General features: G+C 36.4%; 4 annotated features.

The window, feature by feature from the left end:
- Positions 8,297 to 8,356: an enhancer, noted in NCBI's record as "active region_6695". NCBI's record gives its function as "activates an Ori minimal core promoter by ATAC-STARR-seq in GM12878 lymphoblastoid cells {active_cell/tissue: GM12878}" and the evidence as "EXISTENCE:reporter gene assay evidence [ECO:0000049][PMID:35858748]".
- Positions 11,925 to 12,424: an enhancer, noted in NCBI's record as "H3K4me1 hESC enhancer chr12:85921325-85921824 (GRCh37/hg19 assembly coordinates)". NCBI's record gives its function as "activates a minimal SCP1, AML or CMV promoter by ChIP-STARR-seq in naive H9 embryonic stem cells {active_cell/tissue: H9 hESC(naive)}" and the evidence as "EXISTENCE:reporter gene assay evidence [ECO:0000049][PMID:30033119]".
- Positions 12,425 to 12,926: an enhancer, noted in NCBI's record as "H3K4me1 hESC enhancer chr12:85920823-85921324 (GRCh37/hg19 assembly coordinates)". NCBI's record gives its function as "activates a minimal SCP1, AML or CMV promoter by ChIP-STARR-seq in naive H9 embryonic stem cells {active_cell/tissue: H9 hESC(naive)}" and the evidence as "EXISTENCE:reporter gene assay evidence [ECO:0000049][PMID:30033119]".
- Positions 20,426 to 20,720: a silencer, noted in NCBI's record as "tiled region #923; K562 Repressive non-DNase unmatched - State 24:Quies". NCBI's record gives its function as "represses a minimal TATA promoter and a strong SV40 promoter by Sharpr-MPRA in K562 cells {active_cell/tissue: K562}" and the evidence as "EXISTENCE:reporter gene assay evidence [ECO:0000049][PMID:27701403]".

Here is a 23,320-nt window from a genome sequence, read left to right as displayed (position 1 = left end):
AAGTGCTGGGATTAAGTTTAATGGTTAAGATCTGTGGATATGATGGTAAGAATGATGAATTATATAGCTCCAGGGTTAACATATAGTTACTCATTGCAAAAAAAATCCTTCTAAAATACAGGCAACAGAACAATAATAATGGTTTCATCATATCTTTGATTAAAAGCTGAGTTTTATCCATGTCATATTACTATTAGGCAGCTATTTTTTAAGGCTCATGTTGTAGCATAGTTTGTTACTTTATGACTGTTGTGTGACCCTGAATAAGTTATCAAATTCTCAAGCATTAGCTTTCAATCTGTAAAACAAGAACGACAAAGATCCAACTTGCAGAATGTTTTTGTAATGATGGCCACCAAATAATTACAATTCTCTTCCATGGCTCTTGGTAGGATTGTACTTCCAAGTTCCCTTAAAGCTAGCTGTGATTGTGTTTTCCTTTGGTCAATAAGAGATAAGTACAAGTGCTGTGTGACACTTCTGTTTGAAAGCGTGAAGAGCCTGTGTGTGAAAACCACACTCTCTTTTCATCTACCATGATGATAGCAGGTGTTCTAGACAGTGTTTGATCTGTTAGCTTGGATCTAAGTGGCAAGACAATGTGAAAATAGCCCCCGACCAAACAGCAGTGAACATGTAGAGAGTGGGAGAAATAAAGCCTCGTTTTTATTTTTAAGTCAGTAAGATTTGAAGGTTTTTAACTAACACACACACAAATATATATATAAAGGATATATATGAATAATATATTTATATATTATATAAATGGCAATAAAAATATTTTTAAGTAAAAGAATATAGAAAAATAGAATTATGGGACTGGGTATGATGCTCCTGTGAGCAATGTGTAAGAATTTCCAAAGGAATAAGCTTAAATTTTAATTAATTTTAGTAGAGTTCTAAAGAATTAAAAAATATGATATTGTTTTTAAAATATGGTGTATATACTGATACAAGTATATGCACATAAACGTTTTTACATATAATATCTCAATGTATATTCACATATTTGGGATGGTTTTGATAAAACCCATTTCAATGTGAAGGAAAATGTAAAGTTTTTGAGGTGTCTTTTAGCATTATGATTTTATGAAGTTTATTTTTCAGCTATTTTGGCATTTAAAATAGGAATAAAACAGGTACATGCTATTTGATGAAACTGAAAAATGTTCAATATGTACTACTTTTTACATATAACAGAAATCATGTTCAAATAATTATGGAATTTTATCTGCTCTGATGATTTATGGACCCATTTCTCTATCTGATGGTATTCTTTATCATTTTGTCAGAAGACGACCCATTGCTGTAAGTTTAATACATAAATATATAAGTCCAATATGCATGTAATCAGAATAAATAATAATGATAATATGGACATGTTACATAAACATTAAAAAGCTTTGCCATTTTATTGTAAATTCAGAGACAGAGAAACAGACAGACAGATTATATGTACATAAAAATGGCTGTAAGATGAATAAGAAATGACCTTTGTCTTCAGGAAGCTAAAATATCATAAGGAGGAAGATACTCACATGAATGAACTAGATAATACTGCATTGATAAAATGTGTGGTAGGAATTTCAAAAGTCAGAAAGAAGAGTTCAGAGAATGAGGGAACATCCTTTACAACAGTCGCTTTTCTGCCTTAGGACCTAGCAACTCACATCATTTAGGATGAGTGGCTGAATCAGCACTCAGACTCTCAGAACAAAGCATTTCAAGTGTTTATTTCAATGGAAAATAGGAAACATTATATTTCTGACTAAGCATGTCAGTTATTGTAAAATCATTGAAAATATAAAAATCTGGAAATAAATGTTAGAAAAGATAAAAGTGTACATTTGAGTATAAAAATTGTAAATGAAATATGTGACCAACAACATGGCTTCATCCACCTACTGAGGAGAATATGAACAATTAAAAAGTATCACCTAGTCTCCAGAAACCTGAAATTACCTCAGGTAAACTCACAAACAAAAGCTTAACCTGAGACCTTTGGGATGATTGTGACTGATGACTGTGATTCAAGACATTAATCACTGATACAGCAACTTTTGGCCATTAGGCACTTTTACAAATTTTGAATAAATAATGAAAGATAATTGAGGATAATTTCCATGTGATAAAACACAAAATCCTACCAGGCTTAATCTACAAACAGAGAGTATAATTTGGACTCAGTTATAAGCTATTATACTCAATCATTTACTAGACAATGTTAGCAATTTTTGGAGCAATTTATATGATTAGTCAAAATAAGATTCATATTTCTTTTCCAGTTACATGGAATTTGTTACCTTCAAAATACAACAAGAAAAAAGTCTGAAACTAGACATGGGACTTTTAAAACTACATGGTCTGTTAGAACGTTCTATTGTGTATTGCCTTCAAGATAGCATTTATGGAATTCCAATAAAAATAAAGTTTGAGTGCAAAATTACTAGAGTGATAAAGCCCCTTTATCTATAGTAATGGTCTCCACACTCTGTAAATCGTAAATTTATTTTATCTGGAACTGAATCATAAAATACTTCAATATCAAGTACAGCAGAGGGTAGAATTTTATCATCCTCAAAACTAGAGTGCCTACAAGTAAAACCGAGAAGTGAACTTTTGTAGAAGTTGTATATGTATATTTTGTATATGGCAGTAATGTTGGGACTGAAGAGTGAAAGGAGAAATAAGAAAATGTAAACTGTATTCTTTCTTATTTTTTATCAACCAAAGTGAGGATTTGTTTAGCTTGATTTGTAAATTTGATTCAACCTTAATTAACATAAAATGTTATGGAGGATATATCATTATAGCTCAAAACTCCAAAAAGCAGATGTTTTAATTTTATTAGATTTTACACTTTAATATCAATCTTTTAAAATTACTTTTTAAATTTTTAAAACCATCTTTTTAAAATATTTAATCAATTTTAACATAAGTCAGCCTCATAGTTTTAAGACTATTATGTGAAGAAGTTCACATAATCGTTCACCTCATATTTATGAGCTAGGTGTATAAACCAGAGGTAGAAATTGATTTGGAGAAGGAAATTTTAATTTAATAAAATTCCTCTACATTTGGTGAGAACCTAAGATTCAATATCAGCAGTAAAAATGTCCCATCTCAACCCCCACCTTTGTTTGTTTTAGTTTGTATCCTTTATTCCCCATTCTTAATTTCCCATTCTACCATGTTCAATCTCTTAATAAAAGTAGAGAAAATAAGAAAAAGAAATAATCAATGTGGGAATTAAAGATTAATTTATTCAATGCATTATACATATATTTACCACCTACTGTGTGTTATTGCTCTAAATGCAACCAATCAAACATGAACAACAACATCTAAAATTATTCTGGAGCTTACATTCCAATAAAAATAACATATGGCTTCCAGCTCCATCCCTGAATTATCCTCAGCAAACTAATGCAGGAACAGAAAACTAAACATCCCATGTTTTCACTTCTAAGTGGGAGCTGAACAATGAGAACGCATGGACACAGGGAGGGGAAAAACACACACTGGGACCTGTCGTGGGGTGGGGTGGGAGAGCAAGAGCATTAGGTAAAATAGTTAATGCATGCTGGGCTTAATACCTAGGTGATGGGTTGATAAGTGCAGCAAACCACAAGGGCTCAAGTTTACCTAGGTAACAAACCTGCGCATCCTGCACATGTACCCTAGGACTTAAAATTAAAATTAAAATTAAAAAATAAAATAAGAAAATATGACTAAAGACCTGAAGCAAACGAGTAGATGAGACATGCTGATATCTTAATGAAGAGCACTCCAGTCAAAAGAAATGGAAAATACAGAGCCCTTAAGACAGAAACCTGCTTGCTGCTTCTGATGAAGAGTGAAGTCATTTCAGTAATAGAATGATCAAAAGGAGAACAAGGAGAACAGCAGATTATGTCAGAGGTAACTGGCTGAGGAAAAGGAAGACAGATCATGTGGGTTATAGCTGCTTTTTAAAACGTTTTCAAATCATTTGACACTCCTCCATTTACAGTTGGCATCTAATGTTTTCTTTTATGAATATAAGTGGGCTTGTAACTCTTTTGGCTAATAAACTACAGTGAAAATCACAGTAAATTACTCGTTAGAGTAAGCCATAAAAAGTTATGAAGCTTCCTGCTTCTCTTGAAATATTCATTCTCTGGGTGTTTCTCCTTTGTGTATCCCAACCACTTTGCTATAAGAAACCCAAACCACATGGAGAGGCCACATGAAGAGGCTCTGACAATCCTAGCAAAACCTAGGCTTTTAGTTTTCTCAGCCTAGGTGCCAGATACGTAAGTGAAGAAATGTCCAAATTAATTGAGGTTTCAACCATTTATGTCACCCTGAGTCATTTGGGTCTCCCCAGATAAGGTTTCAGACATCATATAACAGAAATAGCCATTCCCTCTGTGCCCTCTCCAAATTCCTGAATTACAGAAACCTTAAGCAAAACAAAATGGCCACTTTTTTACACTGCTAGGTTTTGGAGTGGTCTCCGTGAGGAAACAGAATTCAGTACTCACATTGGAATGCTGCCATAACAAAAAACCTAAAATATGTGGCTTTGGCTAAGAGGTAAAACTGCAAATTTTGGAGTTGAAATAGTCTTAAGGGGACAGTATATGGAAGCCTGACAGGCCTTGAGAAAGATGTTTCAATAACTTAAAGTAAAGAAAGTGTTATTCGATGCTAAAGAAAAGTTGACGTTGTTATATAGTAGTAAAAGTTTAGGAAAACTGCCATCTTTGGTGTCATGGAAAATAGAAAATGTACCTAAGAAAACAGATCTTAATGCAACAGATCTGGCTAAAGAGATTTTTGGCAGATTATAGACAGTGTCAAGTGGCTTCTTGGAACTTTATTTTATAAGATGTGTGTCATAGTCAGTTTGGGCTGGTATAACAAAATCACCATAGAGAGAGTGACTTAAAAAACAGAAATTTATTTCTTACAATTCTGGAGGCTGGGAAGTCCAAGACCAAGGAGCCAGCAGATCCAGTGTCTGGAGAGAAACTGCTTCCTGGTTTGCAGAATGTCATCTTTTCATTGTATCCCTCCATGGTAGAGAGCAGATAGAGCAAGCAAGCTCACATGCCTCTTATGAGAACACTAATCATGAGGGCTTTACCCTCACAGCATACAAGACAAAATCACCTCCACATCCTTCACCTCCTAATACCATCACATTGGGGGATAGAAATTCAACATATGAATTTTGTAGGAACGCAAACATTCAGTCCATAACTGTGAATATAAAGCATTAGCTGAAGAATGAATTATTCAATTTTCAAGCAAAATTTAAAAGGAATGTAAAAAGGCCAAGTGTTGCTGGATTTAAAATAAAACTATTTCTCATAATGTAAGAAAGGGTTATCTTGGTCTGAGACTAAAGATAAAGCTAAGAATACAACTATAAGGCCTTTGTTAAAATGTCAGGATGGTTTCACGTGGAGCCTCACAGATCCACTCAGCTCAGGCAGTCAAAGGCCTTTTAAAGATTTTAAGGATATGCCTCACGTATCCTCGCCATGAAACAATGAAGCTTCTAAAAATTATAAAGAATGTTATCCTACTGCAACTCCATAAGAAACTTAAAGTTGAGAATAACTCATTTCAAAAGGATTTGTGGGATTGATTTTTGTCTAATACAATGGATTACAACTCAGTTAAGTACTGAAGCCCACAGAAAAAAACACAATATGCCACCTTGGGCTGAAAAGGACAGGCAGTACAAAATCAAAAGAGGACCTTGGACTCTCAAATTTCTACAAGTAGAAGATAATTAAGAAAACTACGTAGCTAAAAAAAGGACTAAGCAAGAATGACTTAGAACAGAGAGGATCTCAGGGGATCTAGTCAAGATCTGGGGAGAATCAGTCCTAGGGAATTTTACTGGGCCCATAATCAAGGAAATGGCATGTACCTAACTGAATTTCAAAAATGCTGTGGGTCCGTGTTTGCTAAGTGCCTCCCTTACCTTTTCTTTTTGAATGGAAGTTTCTGTTGCACTATACTATGCCTGTTCACCCACATTTACTGGGTAACTGTAGGGTGGGCTAAAAGGATTTCAGATTGGCAAAATATTTACCCAAGGAATTGACCCTGAGGTAATTCCTGTGCTTCCTGATCTGATTTAAATTATGAGAGTCTAGACCTTAAGCCTGAGCATGATGCCAAAGTGGAATAAAGCTTTTGGTAGGTCTTTGAACATTTTGAATTTATTTTTCATGTAAGGAAAACATAAATACTTTGTAGCCAGAGCACAGATTATGCAATGGGAAAAAAAAAAAGTCCAAAAATTTGTTGAGGCTGGGTGTGGTGGCTCACGCCTGTAATACCAGCACTTTGGGAGGCCAAGGCAAGCAGATCAACTGAGGTCAGGAGTTCGAGACCAGCCTGGTCAACATGGCGAAACCCCATCTTTACTAATAATACAAAAGTTAGCCTGGTGTGGTGGCATGTGCCTGTAGTCCCAGCTACTTGGGAGTCTGAGAGAGGAGAATCGCTTGAACCCAGGAGGTGGAGGTTGCAGTGAGAGAAGATCACGCCATTGCACTCCAGCCTGGGCAACAGAGTGAGGTTTGGTGTCAAAAAAAAAAAAAAAAAAAAAGTTGACATTCTTCCCATGGAGAAGTGCTGTCTCTGTCCCTTCCTCTTGAATAGATGCTGGCATGTGTCTGCTTTGACCAATAGAGTGTGAAGAAAATGATGCACTATTTCTTCCAAAGCTAAGTCATAAAAGAAATGCAGCTTGTCCCTGGATTTTTTGGTATGCTCACTTCCAGATGATTCCTTTAGATACACTTCCTCTTACAAACTCGTTACCATGTTTCCAGGGAGCACAAGCTACATGGTCAGGCCATATGTAGGGGCTCTGGTCAACAATGCAAGCTGAGCCCAACCTAACCCAGATACTAGAAATGTGGATTAAAATCTTTCTAAATAATTTCATACATCCATGATGACAACAACTATATAAGTATTCCCAGCTAAGGCTCCAAACATTGAGAAACAGAAATAAATTATCCCTACTGTGCCCTGATTGGATTTCTATATCAAAGAATATGAAGTTGTTTTGTTTTAGACCACTAAACTTTGGGATTATTTGTTAAACAGCAACATTGGGCAGTGGGCATAGTGGGCATACCAGCTTTAGCTTTAACTATGACCGAGAAGATAAAGCATTGAAACATTTTAAACAAAGATACAAGATCTGGCTTAATATATTTTGAGACACAATTTATCTATGAAAAAATGTATCTATTTAAAAAATTCAATAATTTATTGAAAAAATGGGTATTATCAGTGTTGCTTTATATATGTATTTTGTAATATATATTTTATAAGCAAGCCTTGAGTCAAAATATAAAGCCAAAATACTGAACACAGTTGTTGTTAGAGAACAGTAAGAACTGGATTTTGAACATTAAAAAGATTAAGTTATTCCATTAAATACCCTTAATCCACTAACCCAGATCCCATTGCTATCTGCAGAAATAGTCAATTTTTATTGACTATTTGTTCACCAAATCCTCTTATTTCCTTCTAATAAGTGGTAGCTGGGCTGGCAAGCTAGGAAGGAGAAGGGCTAGAAGAGTTGAGTGAATGTCCGGAGGCAACAGCACCAGACCATTCTCCAGCAGGCTATGAGATGGGTGGACAGGCCTAGGAAGTTGCTACTCTGGTCTCTTACCAAATGCAGTTGTGTTTTTGGAGGCTCCTGAGTTTTTCACTACCAGTGTTACTGCAGGTAACTTTGGTAGAGTTAGGCATAAAGAGGAGTATAGATCCCCATACGCATTGGAATAAGCCTTGAATAACAACCACATTGGTTACTATAAATAAAGTGTGTATGGGGCACTCGGAATGGGTAGAGGGTATTTGTTGTTTCACAGAGAACAGCAAACTCTTCCCATCTTCTTTATGGACAATTAAATAAAGGGATCAACTTTTTTAACAACTGAACAAAATATTAGACATGGGTGTTAAGCATTAGACTCAATATGCCTATGACATAATTTTAAAGCAATATATTGTCAATTGATCTTTCTTCAAAGGTAATGACGTGAGAAAGAAGAATAAGATAATATGAGGGTAATACTAGGTGTAATGAAATATCAAACACTGATATACTAGAGAGTGAGTGATTTCATACTACTTACACCACTTTTAATGGAGACTTAGAAGTAATTCAACAAAGTGTTTCAATTAAAGGAAATGTCAAACTTAAGCAATCAATTTCCCATATGAAATGTGAAAGAAAATACAATTTCTTTTTCTTATTCCCAGGAAGTAAAATATGCTCCTGTTTAATCTCAGCCTTCAGAGTTTAACAGTATTACATTGCTTTCCCTTCTCTATTGTGTGCAACCCAGGATAGAATATTACCTCTGTGTGTCTAAGCATGAATAGAAAGTGAAAACAGCCAGGCAGTCAAAGACAGTTCAGAGCTTATTGCATATTAGATAATCATTCATCAGTTTTCAGTTTCAGCTGTTTGCCTCTTCAGAAACTTTTCTTAAACAAGACCTCTCATCCTGTAGCCTTCATTACACATAATATTTTTTATGTTTGTAATACTACTAACAAGCGTTTATAGAACCCTTACTCTGTTCCAGTGAAGTGCTGAGTTACATGTGATATTTCATTTGTACCTGCCTATTAATTCTCTTAAGTATGTACTGTTGTCTCTATTTTGTAGATGAGGAAAGTAAGCACAGAGAGGTGAAAAACTTTTCTCCAACATTTCAACACAGAAAATCTATCTACAGTATTTAAGAAAGAATGCTTTCTTAAATACTTATTGCCCTATAGAGCTCACAGTTAACTGTGCTTATACATATATGTTTCTACATTATATGATCATATGCACATGAAGTATGACATCTTACATGCCACTAAGAATTTTTATTCACTCAAAACATATAGCAAGAATAAAGAACTAAGTCCAGTGTTACATATCTAATCAAAATTAATAGAAACCATGAATTAATCATACCAATCATGATAAAGAAACATTAAGGGAAATATCATCTAATATTTCCATTAAATGTCTTTAATATTAGAATTTATTATTTTTTATGTAGAGGCCAACTTTGCCTTTTGAAAGGACATTCCCTGAAGAAGGAGACTGACTTTCATGGATGGGTCTGAAATAAATTTCAAAAAGGATACAATAAAATAAATAGAAAAAGGCCGAAGAACATGCTTAGTGACTTCCACACTATGCCACTCGGAGCCCCTGGGGCCCCAGACGGCAACAAGCGAGTTAGCAGGCACTGTGAGTAGGCTGAGAAGGACTCTGAACTTGCCCCTACCTTTATTTAAGGGGAGGTGGCCCTGTGGCCAGGGAAGAAAGAGCTATGAGTTTGAAGGTACAATTCTACTAGTTACTCTGAAAGTAGAATAACCATCTAGTCAAAGGTTACAATTTATGAAACAATGGAACATCCCTCAATCTGAAAGGTTGCTCTCAACAGACAGACTCTTTTAGGAGTATCTGTGAAGGGAACAATAGATAATCACCAGGCTACAATTTGACAAGAGATCAGGTATTCTGGGAACCTGGACCTACTCTCAGTCAGGGTCCCTCTAGAATAAAGCTCCTAACACCCACCCCTCCATCTGGAAATGGAGAAAAGTGGTTATATCACCCGTGGTTTCACTCCTCACTGAAAAACTTGGTAGTTGGCGTCTGACAATTTCTCAAGATCTAAGTCCACAATTAAATTATCTTTCAAAATGTTAAGCAATAAAAGCTTTGTACCTTTTTAAAGAAATTATTTTTAAAAATATAATTGTAGTCCTGGTGACAGGAATAAAAAGAAAAGTAACTTCCTCATTCTTTTCAGTAGTGAGGTCAAATTATCAACAAAATGCTTTTATTATACCCACTGCAATTTACATTGTTTTCAAAGTTCACTTGGATGGAAAATACACAGTTAAGGTCTTTTCCAGAGTCATTTAAAGAAAAACCTGAAGCATAATGTTAAACTAATTAGTCATATTTTAAGATGAGCAGGTTCATGATGATCCTAAATGCCTTTGATTCTTTTTTGAGAGGTAAGTGGGTGTTAAATTATACATGAAATTACTTCTTACAAAAGAAATATTTTATTAAAAATCTTTTAAAAGTGTGATATATTCTCATATTTAAATTTCATGAAAGAAAAATCTTACAAAGAATAACTTAGACCAGTCACAGTGACTCACACCTTAATCCCAACACTTTGGGAGGCCGAGGTGGGAGCATTGCTTGAGCTCGTGAATTTAAGACCAGTCTGGGTAACATAGTGAGACCCTGTATCTAAAAATAAAAATAAAATAAAAAATTAGCTGAGTGTGGTGGAGTGTGCCTGTAGTGCCAGCTACTTGGGACTGGTGGGGGAGGTGAAGTGTTGAGATGGGAGGATGGCACTGAGGCCAGGAGGTCGAGACTGTAGTCAGATGATGTGACTGTGCCACTGTACTCTGGCACGGGTGAAAGGGTGACAAGCGAAAACCTGTCTCAAAAAAAATAAAAAGAAACTTTTTGTAGCTAAAGGGAAATACAACATTTTAAGGCAAATCATCTTGAGATTGACAGGATTGGGGAAAAAAAAACGGACACATTTTTCAAGCCAAGTCTTGTTCATAAGGAGTATGATGGAAATCCTATTGTCACAGAGTTTACAACTCATTGTTTTCTTCTTTAATTGTGTTTCCTCCTAAACCTTTTTTTTAAAATAAATATCTACTCAATTAACTGATTTCTCTTCTCCAGATTTTGCTTGGAGGTCTAGAGTTTAATGGGGCAATAAATGACTGGCATTAATCAAACAACAAATAATTGTGCAATTTATGTAGTCCACTCTTAGCAATCAGATTTTTATATCATTTTGCCTCTTTCCCACAAATTCATTTCTACCTAACAGCGATATTTATTTTGTGCTCCAACTTAAGGTTTAAGAGACAAGAAGACAGAAGCCTCAGTGGTTTGCAGTGTGTATGGGGGAAAATGTTTTAAAGAAAAAAAGCCCTTTTCTCTGTTATCACTAAAATAGGGGTAGGGAAGATAAATATGATTCTATAATATATTCAAAGGAGAATGCTAGGTGTATTATCTCTGTTACTGTTAATTGCACAAAAACCCTGCAAGGTATATATTAGATTTTGTTTATATAAATGAGAAAGATGATGATCTTAGAGAGATGAAGAAATTTGCTTAAAATCACAGTGATTTTTCACAGAAAAGATCTGACTTGAACCAAGGTAGATCTCACCCCAATCATGCAGCTCTGCTGTGCTTGTTTTCATTTGAAGCAGTATGTGATCAAATTCCTGTAAACCTGGAGTCAGAGGCAGAGCCTATGCCTGCGCCCCTTAAGGGACTAGGTACAGAAACTTCCAAGGGTCAGGCTTTGTGATGGGCAGCAATTCAAAATACTACACCTGGCTTAAATTTAACTTAAAAAAGAAGAAACATGTGAATAAGATAACCACAGATCTTTATTGTTACAACAGTCTGATAAATGCTAAAGGAATGAGTTTGCTGTTTTGTACATACGTGTGGCAAAAAGATCTTCACAGGACCATGTGTAAGAATGCTTTTCAATGCAGACTGCTTTAAGAAAGAATGGGTTTGGTTCTCTCAGAGTCTATTAGGAGATCACACTTCCACATTGAGTTATGACTTACTAATAGAGAAATGACATGAAGCTTATTTTAACTCATTCTTATGAATTAAAATTAATACAGATATAGTTTGTAGTGAAGTATCATGATTAAGAGATCTCACAGGCTTTGCAATCAGGCAAACCAGGGTTCAAATCTCAGCTCTTAACTTTTTAGTGATCTTGAGCAGTTAACTTCCTTGTATGTTTTTCCCCATTTGTATAATTGGGGGATTACTAGTCATTCCACAGTGGGAATTTTTGTGCAGACTTAATGATATATATAAGAAAAAAAAACTAGTTCATACCTGAAAGATCTGCACCTATGGCTTTGAAAAGTGCAGTCCCTGCTTTCACTGGTTGTTGAGTGCCTGTGGCTTTTCCAAGTGCAGAGGGCAAGCTTCCAGTGGATCTACCATTCTCACATCTGGAGGGTGGTGGCCCCTTTCTCACAGCTCCACTAGACAATGCTCCAGTGAGGGCTCTGTGTGGGGGCTCTAACCCCACATTTCCCCTTGGCATTGCCCTACTAAAGGTTCTCTGTGAGGACTCTGTCCCTGCAGCAGGCTTCTGCCTGGACCCTCAGATTCTTCCATACATTCACTGAAATTTAAGTGGAGGGTCCTAAGCCTCAACTCACTCAGGCTTAAAACCATATGGAAGCCACCAAGGCTTATGGTTTGCATTCTCCAAAGTGGCAATTTGAGCTGTAACTGGACCCCTTTGAGCTCTGACTGGAGCTGGAGCAGCTGGGATGTGGGAAGCAGTGTCCAGAGGCTGGCAGGGCAATGGGACCCTGGGCCTGGCCGGCCAAACCATTCTTCCCTCCTAGGTCTCAGGGCCTGTGACGAGAGAGGCAGCCTGGAAGATTTCAGAAATGCCTTCAAGGCCCTTTTCTCATTGTCTTTGCTGTTAGTACATAGCTCTTTTTCAGTTATGCAAATGTCTCTAGGAAGTGGTTACTCCACAGCCTGCTTTAATTTCTCTCTAAAAAATGCTTTTACTTTCTCTGTCACACAAACAGTCTGCACATTATCCAAATTTTTATGCTCTGCTTCCTGTAAAAAATATAAATTGCAATTTTATCATTTATTTGCTCCCATATCTGAGCATAGATTCTTAGAAGCAGCCAGGTGACATCTTGAAGGCTTTGATGCTTAGTAATTTCTTCTACCAGATACTCTAAATTATCACTCTCAAGTTCAACTTTCCACAGATTCCTGGGGCATAAACAAAATGCAGCCACTTTTTTTTACTAAGGTATAACAAATGTAATCTTTGCTCTAGTTCTCAATAAGTTTCTTGTTTCCATCTGAGACCTTGTCAGCCTAGACTTTACTGCCCATATCACTATCAGCATTTTGGTCACAACCATTTAACCAGTCTTTAAGAAGCTTCAAACTTTCCCTCATCTTCCTGTCTTTTTTGAGCCCTCCAAACTCTTCCAACCTCTGCATATTACCCAGTTCCAAAGTCACTTCCACAGTATGTGTATAGCAGGTATGTTTATAGCAATGTCCCATCCTTTGGTACCAATTTTCTGTATTAGGCCATTCTTGCATTCCTATAAAGAAATATTTGAGACTGAAAAATGTATAAAGAAAAGAGGTTTAATGAGCTTATTGTTCTGCAGACTGTACAAGAAGCATAACCTAGGCATCATCTGCTTCCGAGGAGGCCTCAGGAAGCTTACAATCATGGTAGAAGGCGAAGAGCAAGAAGACATCTCACATGACAGAAGCAGGAGCAAGACAGAAAGAGTTTGGAGGGGAAGTACCACATACTTTTAAACAACCAGATCTCATGAGAACTTACTCACTATCACCAGAACAGCACCAAGGAGATGGTGATAAACCATTCATGAGAAATCCACCCCCATGATCCAGTCACCTTCCACCAGGCCCCACATCCAACATTGGAGATTACAGTTCAACATCAGATTTGAGTGGGACAAATATAAAAACTATCTCACTCAGCTACATATTTTAGGCATAATTAGAACTTGAGAGAATTAAGCATGTTGGCTGAACTCATGAGAAACTCAGAATTGATGCATATTATTGATCACTATCTTATAAATCTCCTGATTATATACACACAAAAACACACACACTTTTAAAGCTTTGGTGGCACTAGTAGTTTTTGTTTGTTTGTTTTTTTGTTTTTGTTTTTGAGATGGAGTCTCACTCTTTGCCCCAGGATGGAGTTCAGTGGCACGATCTCGGCTCACTGCAAGCTCCGCCTCACAGGTTCACGCCATTCTCCTGCCTCAGCCTCCCAAGTAGCTGGGACTACAGGTGCCCACCACCATGCCTGGCTAATTTTGTTTTTGTATTTTTAGTAGAGACAGGGTTTCATCGTGTTAGCCAGGATGGTCTCAATCTCCTGACTTTGTGATCCACCCATCTTGGCCTCCCAAAGTGCTGGGATTACAGGCGTGAGCCACAGCACCTGGCCTAGTAGTTTTTTTAAGGTTCTGTTTTCATTTCTACAAAGCAGTTTCCTACTTCCTAGAAGAAGAAATAATTTCAGAAACAAATTTATTTTGGAAATACAAAAGCTGTGTAAAACTAATTTCTTTTTTTTTTCAGAAGAATTAGAAAGATTAACCAGAAGATTATAAGGATTACAGAGGGACAACATAGATAGAAGTTGACATTTAATTAAGTTTGAACTTTTGTTTATTTCATGATTTGATTCTTATACCTCCATGGTATCTTTACTATGTTAAGTGCTTAAACAAGCTATTATATATAGGAAAAACAAAAGTTTCCGGAAAGATCCCAGAGCAGGAAAGAGGTAAATATGTCAAAAACTAAATGAATAAAAGGGCTGGATATACTGGAGGAAAAAATGAGAAACTAGAGGCCAGACTAAGAATAAAAACCACAGTATAGGACGAAAGAGACATGAAAGATAACCAGATTGAAGATTCAAGTGAGACTTTTGAGTTTAACATCCTGGCAGATTCTCCACTTCGGGGATAAAGCAGAGCCTGCAGATAAAGTCACTGAGATATAGAGGAGATGGAAATTACTGACAGAAAAATGAGGATGAAGAATATTTAAAATAATGTGTACAAGCCCTTGACAAAGATGAGTGTCTTGGATGTTAGTAGATGGCCCCAGTGTGAAAGATTGTACCAGAAGTACAAGACAGAGGAATCAAAAGAAAAGCCATTGGCTTAATATTTTAAAATGTTGATGATTTGATTCAATAGTTTGAATCAAAGAGATATTTGCCCCTCTCATTTTTGCCCCATTGACAGAAAGAATGAGAAATTTGGAGGATCCATGAGGGCTGCTAGGCTAGCCAGGCAATGTAGTAGGCTGAATAATGCACAGAGACACAGAGAAGAGAACATCATGTGAATGAAGATGGAGGCAGATATTTAAATGATGTATCTACCAGCCAAAGAATGGCCAGAATTGTCGGCAACCACCAGAAGCTTGGAATAGGAAAAGTCTCCTGCAGAGGATCCAGAAGGGACCAATCCTGTTGGAATCATGATTTCAGAATTTTGCCCTCCTAATCTGCAAAAGAATTAAGTTCTGTTCATTTAAAACATTCTGTAATAATTTGTTGCAGCAGCCCTAATGAGTTAGTGAAAAACAAACAAACAAACAAAAAAACAAAAAAAAACTAGATTTTCAGCCAGCAAGATGAAATAATGGAAACACTTAAATATACGCATCATAGTTAACAGAGACATGGACAGTGATAGGCTACTTGGCCTGAGAAAGGGAGGAACTAATTTGTCTTAGTAATAATGATAAAGAGGGAGGTAACAGTAAGAAAATGTCTTGACTTAGATGACCAATTGTTCATAAAGAGAAATTAGGAGTTGAGATTCATAAAGAACATGCAGCCAGAAGTGGTGGCTCATGCCTGTAATCCCAGCACTTTGGGAGGCCCAGGGGGGTGGACCACCTGAGGTCAGAAGTTCGACACCAGACAGGCCAACATGGCGAAACCCCATCTCTACTAAAAATACAAAAAGTCGCCGGGCATGAAAGCGGGCTCCTGTAATCCCAGCTACTGGGGAGGCTGAGGCATGGTAATTGCTTGAACCTGGGAGGCAGAGGTTGCAGTGAGCCAAGATTGTGCCACTGCACTCCAGGCTGGGGTATAGAGTGAGTCTCTGTCTCCAAAAAAAAAAAAAAAAAAAAAAAAGGAAATTAAAGAGCATGCAATATAGACAGTATTGGAAAAACTAACAGAAACAACCCCCTGGAGTGGAAATTTTAAACTTTTTCCTAAACTCCTTCCTGAGAGGCATCAGGGCGTAGCAGAACTCAGGATTTGGAGCCAGACAGATTTGAATAACAATTCTTATTTTTCCACAAATAAGATATGCATATTTGGAAAACTTCTTTACCATGCTTGAACATCATTTTTCTTATCTATAAAGTAAGAATGACATTAACTCTTTCATAGAGTTGTGATGATTTACATAATATAATGTATTTTGAACTGCGAGCACATTGCATTCTATATAATGAAGATAGAGGACTTATCCCATAGGGTTGTTATGAGATTGGATGCATATAAAATACATAATAAACACTCCTATATGTTAGCAATTATTTAATATTAGCTTTTCATCAACCTCTCCTAGACCTCAATATTAATTACAGCCTCCTAGAGAAGAGAAGCATGAGCTGGCATTCAGTCAGAGCAGATACGCCTGTCTAGACAGTCTGCTTGAGTTTTTAATACACCAGTTGGAATACACCTGTTTAATGTGTTTCACAGAAAATACTCTGAATATAGAGTATTAGGACACATTTTAGCATACACCCTTTTTGAGGTGTGGCTGGCTCAGTAAAAATGTGCTGATGACATGAGAGAATATGTTATTAATGACATATTCTTGGAACATCACTGTATTTGTAGTTACATTTTGTCATTGCATAAGTGTGTACATAAAAGTAACAATAGATTACTCGTTATGAGAAATATGCGAACTATAAACACTTGTGTACTATCTCTGATTTATATTGCTCCCAGATGTTCACACATAGTAAAAGGCAAAGGCAGGAAACAATAACTTTGTTTATAATAAACTAAATAAAACTTCTCTGATAATCTTGCATAAATGAATGACATCAGAATTACAATTTATTGAATACATTATATACTGATAAACATTATCTCTGGATCAGAGAGAATGGTTAGTATCTATACTGTTTTATAGTTTCTTTTTTTTAACATTTTGGAATAATGAATATGCCAAATGAATTATTTCATGGCACTTTTATTGGGCAAATATTCACAAACACATTGGGCACTGGACTGAGTCAAATTCTCTATCTCTAGGACTTCTAATGTAACATGCCTGAATACTTTCATTCACTTGTTCAAGAAATAACTACTGGGTAATTACCATATTCCATGTACTATTCTAGGTACAGATGCTAAAACTGCAAACTACATCATTGTCCTCAAGGAGATTACATTGAGTGGCATAGAGATGGGAAGGGTTGGCTGAGAAGACAAACCAAAAACAAACAAACAAATAAAATAATAAGTGTACTTAATTAAAGAAATACAGTAGGAAGTGAGTAAGTGGTGCTGTTTACAGGATGCCTCACTGAAAAGATGGTATTGAAAGTAAGACCTGAAGTATTTTAAGAAGTCAGTTAAGAAGAGAGCTGAAGCAAAGGCTTTCCAAGCTGAGGATTATAAAGCACAGTGACCTTTTGTCTTAGCTTGGGCTGCCATAACAAAATATTATAAACTGGGTGATATAAACAACAGAATTTATTTCCTCACAGTTTTGAAGGGTGGAAGTGTAAGATCAGGGTGCTAGCGAGCTCAGGGTCTGGTGACAGCTCTCATTCTGGCTTGCAGATGGCTGCCTTCCTGCTGGGTATCACATGGCCTTCCCTCTCTCTCTTCCTCTTCTTATAAGGTCACCAATCTTATTGGATCAGGACCTCATCCTTGTGACCTGTCATAACCTATCATCCAATCCTATGACCATCCAATCCTTATGACCTATCATCCAATCCTAATTACCTTCTAAAAGCCCTATCATGTTGGGGGCTAGGGCTTCAGCATATGAAATTGGAAGGACACAATTCAGTCCGCAGCACCTAGGAAGGAGTTCAGCTGTGGGAAGAGCATTAAAAAAAGGCCAACGTGGCAGGAGTGAGCAAACAAACGGCAAGACAGTAGGCCAGTTAGGCAGGATCCACACAAATAGGGTTTCTAAGGCAAAAGTTAAGAACGTGGATTTTTTTCTACAAGTTATGGGCAGGGGGCATAGAATAGAGGGTGTTAAGTAGGGAAATGCAAAATTTGATTTGTAGTTTAAAAATTACTCTGGCTGCTTGGTGGAGAGAAATATTAAGGGAAGAGTCAGAACCAGCTATGGAATTTGAGAGGTGAAATTCTTGTTCAAAAACTATTAAGAATTTCAAGATGCTGACAGTACAATATTAAACCAACTGTGAGACCCTTATGTATGAGGCCCTCCATGACTGCACAGGTCACATATCCGTGAAGACAACTCTAGAATCAGGTGTAGAAGGAGGAAGACCACTTACAAGATTATCGCAGCTTCTGCCGTTGAAAAATGATGATGCTCTGTAATAAGGTAGTGGAGGTGGGAATGAAGGCAGGTTGAGAATTGAGGAAACACTTTGGATAGAAAACCCAGAGGAGTAAATATGGGAGGCTGGGGAAAAGGAGGATCTGGATTCAGCAGGTGGTTGGATGGTGACTAGAGCTGGGGAGGCTGAGGGAGAAACAGGTGGGCTGGGGGTGAGGATCAAATGTTCTTATCTGGAAGGCTACATTTAACAATCAATAAAAAATCAAATTATTGAAAAATAATATATAATGTTTTGGGGCCAGGCATGGTGGTTTACACCTGTAGATCCAGCACTTTGGAAAGCTGAGGTAGGAGGATCCCTTGAGCTTAGGAGTTCGAGACCAGTCTGGGCAACATGGCAAAACCCCGACCCTACAAAACATACAAATATTAGCCAGGCATCATGTGCCCACCTGTAGCCCCAACTATTCAGGATGCTGAGGTGGAAGAATCACTTGAGCCCAGGATGTCAAGGCTGCAGTGAACTGTTATCGTACCACTGTACTACAGCCTAGGCAAAGGCAACAGAGGGGAGACTGTCTCGAAAGAAAAAAATATATATATATATCGAAATACAGTTTACTCTTGGAAAACATCAAAATATTGAATATATGTAGCTTTTCCTTGACAATTTAAAAAGTTTTTGAAGTTGTGGTTTGCAAACTGGCGTCTATTTATATGTGTAGGTGTGCATTTGTTTATACAATCTGTGAGGTAATTAATATAAATTTTATTATTTTAAAAATTATTTCAATCACCTATGTTTAGCAGTGTTTTAAACTATCTCTGGTAAAAGATATTTTTTCCTTAATTTCAAGTCCATTGCGGACCAATACTTTTGTAAATTTTTTTTAATCCTAATTACTGACAATATACAATTTTGGAGAATGAAAAATTCAAGCCCCTTTATTTTGCTATTAGAGTCAATAGATATAAAATTGCTATGTAAACATTCTAGAAGTGTTTAAAGGACTAAGCTCCGCTTATTTTTTATTTTTATGGATATGTAATCGTTGTATATATTTATTATATACATGTTATATTTTGCTATGAGCATACAATGTGTAATGATCAAATCAGAGTAACTGGGATATCAATTACCTCAAACATTTATCACTTGTGTTAAGAACATTCCGAGGCTGGGTGCAGTGGCTCACGCCTGTAATGCCAGCACTTTGGGAGGCAGAGGTGGGCAGATCATGAGGTCAGGAGTTCGAGACCATCCTGGCCAACATGGTGAAACCCCGTTTCTACAAAAAATACAAAAATTAGCTGGATGTGGTGGCACGTGCCTGTAGTCCCAGCTACTCAGGAGGCTGGTAGGAGAATCTTTTGAACCTGGAGGCAGAGGTTGCAGTAATCCGAGATCGTGCCACTGCACTCCACGTTGGCAACAGAGCGAGACCCATCTCAAGATAAAATAAAATAAATAATAATAAAAAAGAACATTCCAAATTTTCTTTTCTAGCTATTTTGAAATATACAAAATTTTATCGTTAACTATTGTCACCCTATTGTGCTACTGAATATTGGATCTTATTCCTTCTATCTAACTGTATTTTTGAACCCATTAGCTAATATCTTTTTAACCCTCCACTCCCTCACTATCCTTCCCACCCTCTGTTAACCTTCATTTTAATCTATAACTTCATGAGATCAATTTGTAGCTCCCATATATAAGTAAAAACACGTAATGTTTGTTTTTCTGTGCCTGGCTTATTTCACTCCTCCAGTTTCATCCATGTTGTTGCAAATGACAGTATTTCATTATTTTATGTCTAAATACAATTACATTCTGTATGTGCACCACATTTTCTTTATCCATTTATCCATTGATGTTCACTTAACTTGATTCCATACCTTGGCTATTATGATGAACATGAGAGTGCAGACACATCTTTGATATACTAATTTCCTTTCTTTTAGATATATGCCCAATAGTGAGATTCCTGAATCACATGGTAGTTCTGTTTTTAAGTTTTTTGCAGAAACTCCACACTGCTTTCCATACTGGTTCTATTAATTTACATTTGCATGAACTAAACCATGTACGAACATTTCCCTTTCTCCGCATCTTTATCAGCATCTGTTACTTTTTGTTTTTTTGATAAAAGCCATTTCAAGTGGAGTGAGATGATAGTTCATTATGATTTTTATTTGCATTTCTCTGAAAACTGGTGATGCTATAATCTCAATTCTTGTACTTAGCTCATTGCAAACTGAACCAGTCACTTTGAGAAGCACGGTTTCTGACTACCTCCCAATAACTGTTCTTCCTTTCTTTCCCTAACCAAACAACTCCTCTTTCTATCTCCCTCTTAATCCACAAACCCTTGATCCTTTAAATTGCTTTGTCTGTGTCACGCAGGTGACCTCATCTCTTACATGCTCCCTGTAGCAGGGGTCGTTAGACATTTTTAAGTCACATCCAGTTCTACTAATGAGAAGCAGTAAAAGGTGGATAATCAACCCTAAGTGTGGAAAAAAAAAAAAGAGAAGATAAAAATAAGAGACTTTCATGGCAATTGAGGTTTAGGATAGGTTATCTAAAAATGGAACAATAATAAGCTTTTTACCACTGTTATCTCTGGTACCCATTCTACTAAAAGAATATCTGCTACTTTTTCAGCCCTGAATTTGAAAAGTCTGCTTTGTTGTCCTCACCTGCATGAATGAGAGCCTCTAGGCTGTTAAAGAAGCCAATGTGTGGGTCAGAGGAGCTTACAGTGAGTGGACAAAGCAAATATAATCCTGCCTTACTAATTTCGTAGGATATTCACCTTTCTGAAGTCACACAAATGTAAACATGAAAAATATTCATTATAAAAGAAACCTAGGGAAAGTGCAAACACTTGAAGAATGTGCATTTTTTACAATTGCATTTGTTTTATTCAAGCGCTTTTAGTTGCAAGGAATAAGAATCCAAAGAGTTAACAAATAAAAGAGATGCTATTTCAAGTAATTGATGGAAAATGCTATATATATGAAATAATGTCAGGAATTATGGATGAGACCTGGCTCTGGGAATTGAAAAGCAGGAACCCAGACAATAGTATGCTAAAACCTCTGATTTGTAGCATTTTTCTATTTCTGTGGTGTAAATATTCCCACCATGGCTGTTTTTAAACTACGAACTTGAACATAAAGTGGGACAAGATGCCCAGAAATATACAGTTACATTACATTACACACCAGAAGCACACCAATAAATATAGAATTCCTACCATTTAGATATAATATGCATAAATAACCTAAGAGGAGGAATAATAGTAAAATAATTGGAAAATATGTTTTGAGTATACATTGTCCCTATATATTTATATGTAAGTTTATATGTTCAAATTTTTGATAATGCCTGGGTTTAACAACCAGCTTGTTAAATTTGTGAACATTTAACAATCAGCTCTTTTGAACCAGCATAAAGAACCTCTAATACGCCACTAAATTGGGTTTGCCACAGCTTTAAATGCAGGTCTTACTCTACATTAAGTTCCAATTTTAGAGTCCACAAGCAATAAAATATAGCATAGTCTAATTTTTCTGTTGAATTTCACAAGGGGAAAATGCAATATATTCTTCATTCTTTAATAGACAGTTGTATCATGATTGATCATTCCTGGTCAGGGATAAGTAGAAGTATTATATAAATCAAAAATGACCTCTTACTATAGAAATATTTTAAATTCTATGATATATGGTTAAATAATAAGGCTAAATATGTGCAAAAAAAGATAAGAAATAATTGTTTCTCTGTTAGTATTATCTAACAATGATAAATATCATGACAGGTGATATTTATCAAAATTGCTTGTATGCGGTTGTTAACACAAAACAATAAGTAATTACTAGATTTTTTAATCATGAAAAAGCTACCTACAAAACTAACTGCTAATCAAATTGAAAACTGTCTCTGTTTACTATGTAGTAGGACCATTAAATCCTATTCACGAACCAATGTGATGAAGTATAAACTATGAATGTGAAAAACAAGAAGTCTGTGGACAATTTTGTTTTCCTCCTGTGTACCACTGACATGGCTTGTTCACTCCTTGATTGACAGTAAAAAGAACTGTCTCTGATGTCATACTTAAAACACAAGCCAAAGGCAATGAGTGAAACTCCAGCATATTCTGATTCTCCCAAAGCCAGAATAATAATTAAGACCCAAAATGAATTTGAACGAGGAGATAACCACATTAGCCACACCTTAGTAATGGCATGGCAGCTATTTTATACTGAAGAGTGGTCTTATGATTTTTTTAATGATATAGCTCTCTAGCAGATTTTAACTTATTTTTGGCATAAGAAAAAAGATAGATGTCAAAGGTAGCAAAATGATGCATTTTTAAACACTATTTCTATTGTCCAGTTTTGTGTTTGATTTTATATGCAAAAGTTGCTACTCTTTAAGTCTAATATATCTTACAGTATGCAGGCTACTTTCATTAGAATCACAGGGTAGTGGGCAAAAGAGAGCAAGGCTTGATGCAAACATAGATACCTGGGCTCCACCCAAGGCGTACTTCTGAATCAGAACATTGAAGGTGTCCCTCCACTCCCCCTTCCCTCCATCATGGCTACTGGAGGTGATCCAAGCATGATTCACATTAAGAAGTAGTTTGTTTTCCTGAGCCTCACCACCTGCCATCTAGTTTAAGGTGTGACCCCTGTAATTCTGGTTTCTTTTTTGAGGGTTTGTCTTTTCCAGGATGACTGAAAATGAACATTTTCATTCCCTTCAGGGGAAATCTCAGGACTGTGAACCCATCACAACAATTATATCAGAACACAAGACACGACCTGGTACATTCAGGATTTTCAGACTTGCTTAACCTTAACACTTAGTCAGGGAGACTCAGTTCCAGGTTGAGCTGCATAGAAAGCCAGGCCACGTGTTACTAGGTCTTTCCCCAAAACAGTGCTACTTGTGCATTCCATACTTAGCCTTCTTTGGATAATCTCCATCACTCTGAACAAATAAAAACAAACTATATTTTATAGGCAGAATGTCATGTTAACTCATCAAAATAAAAATTTTTTCTCATTTTATAAAAAGCAACAGTCTGAG

Source organism: Homo sapiens, chromosome 12 (assembly GCF_000001405.40).
Source record: "Homo sapiens chromosome 12, GRCh38.p14 Primary Assembly".
NCBI classification, from domain to species: domain Eukaryota; kingdom Metazoa; phylum Chordata; class Mammalia; order Primates; family Hominidae; genus Homo; species Homo sapiens.
This window is presented reverse-complemented; position numbering and strand designations above follow the sequence as displayed.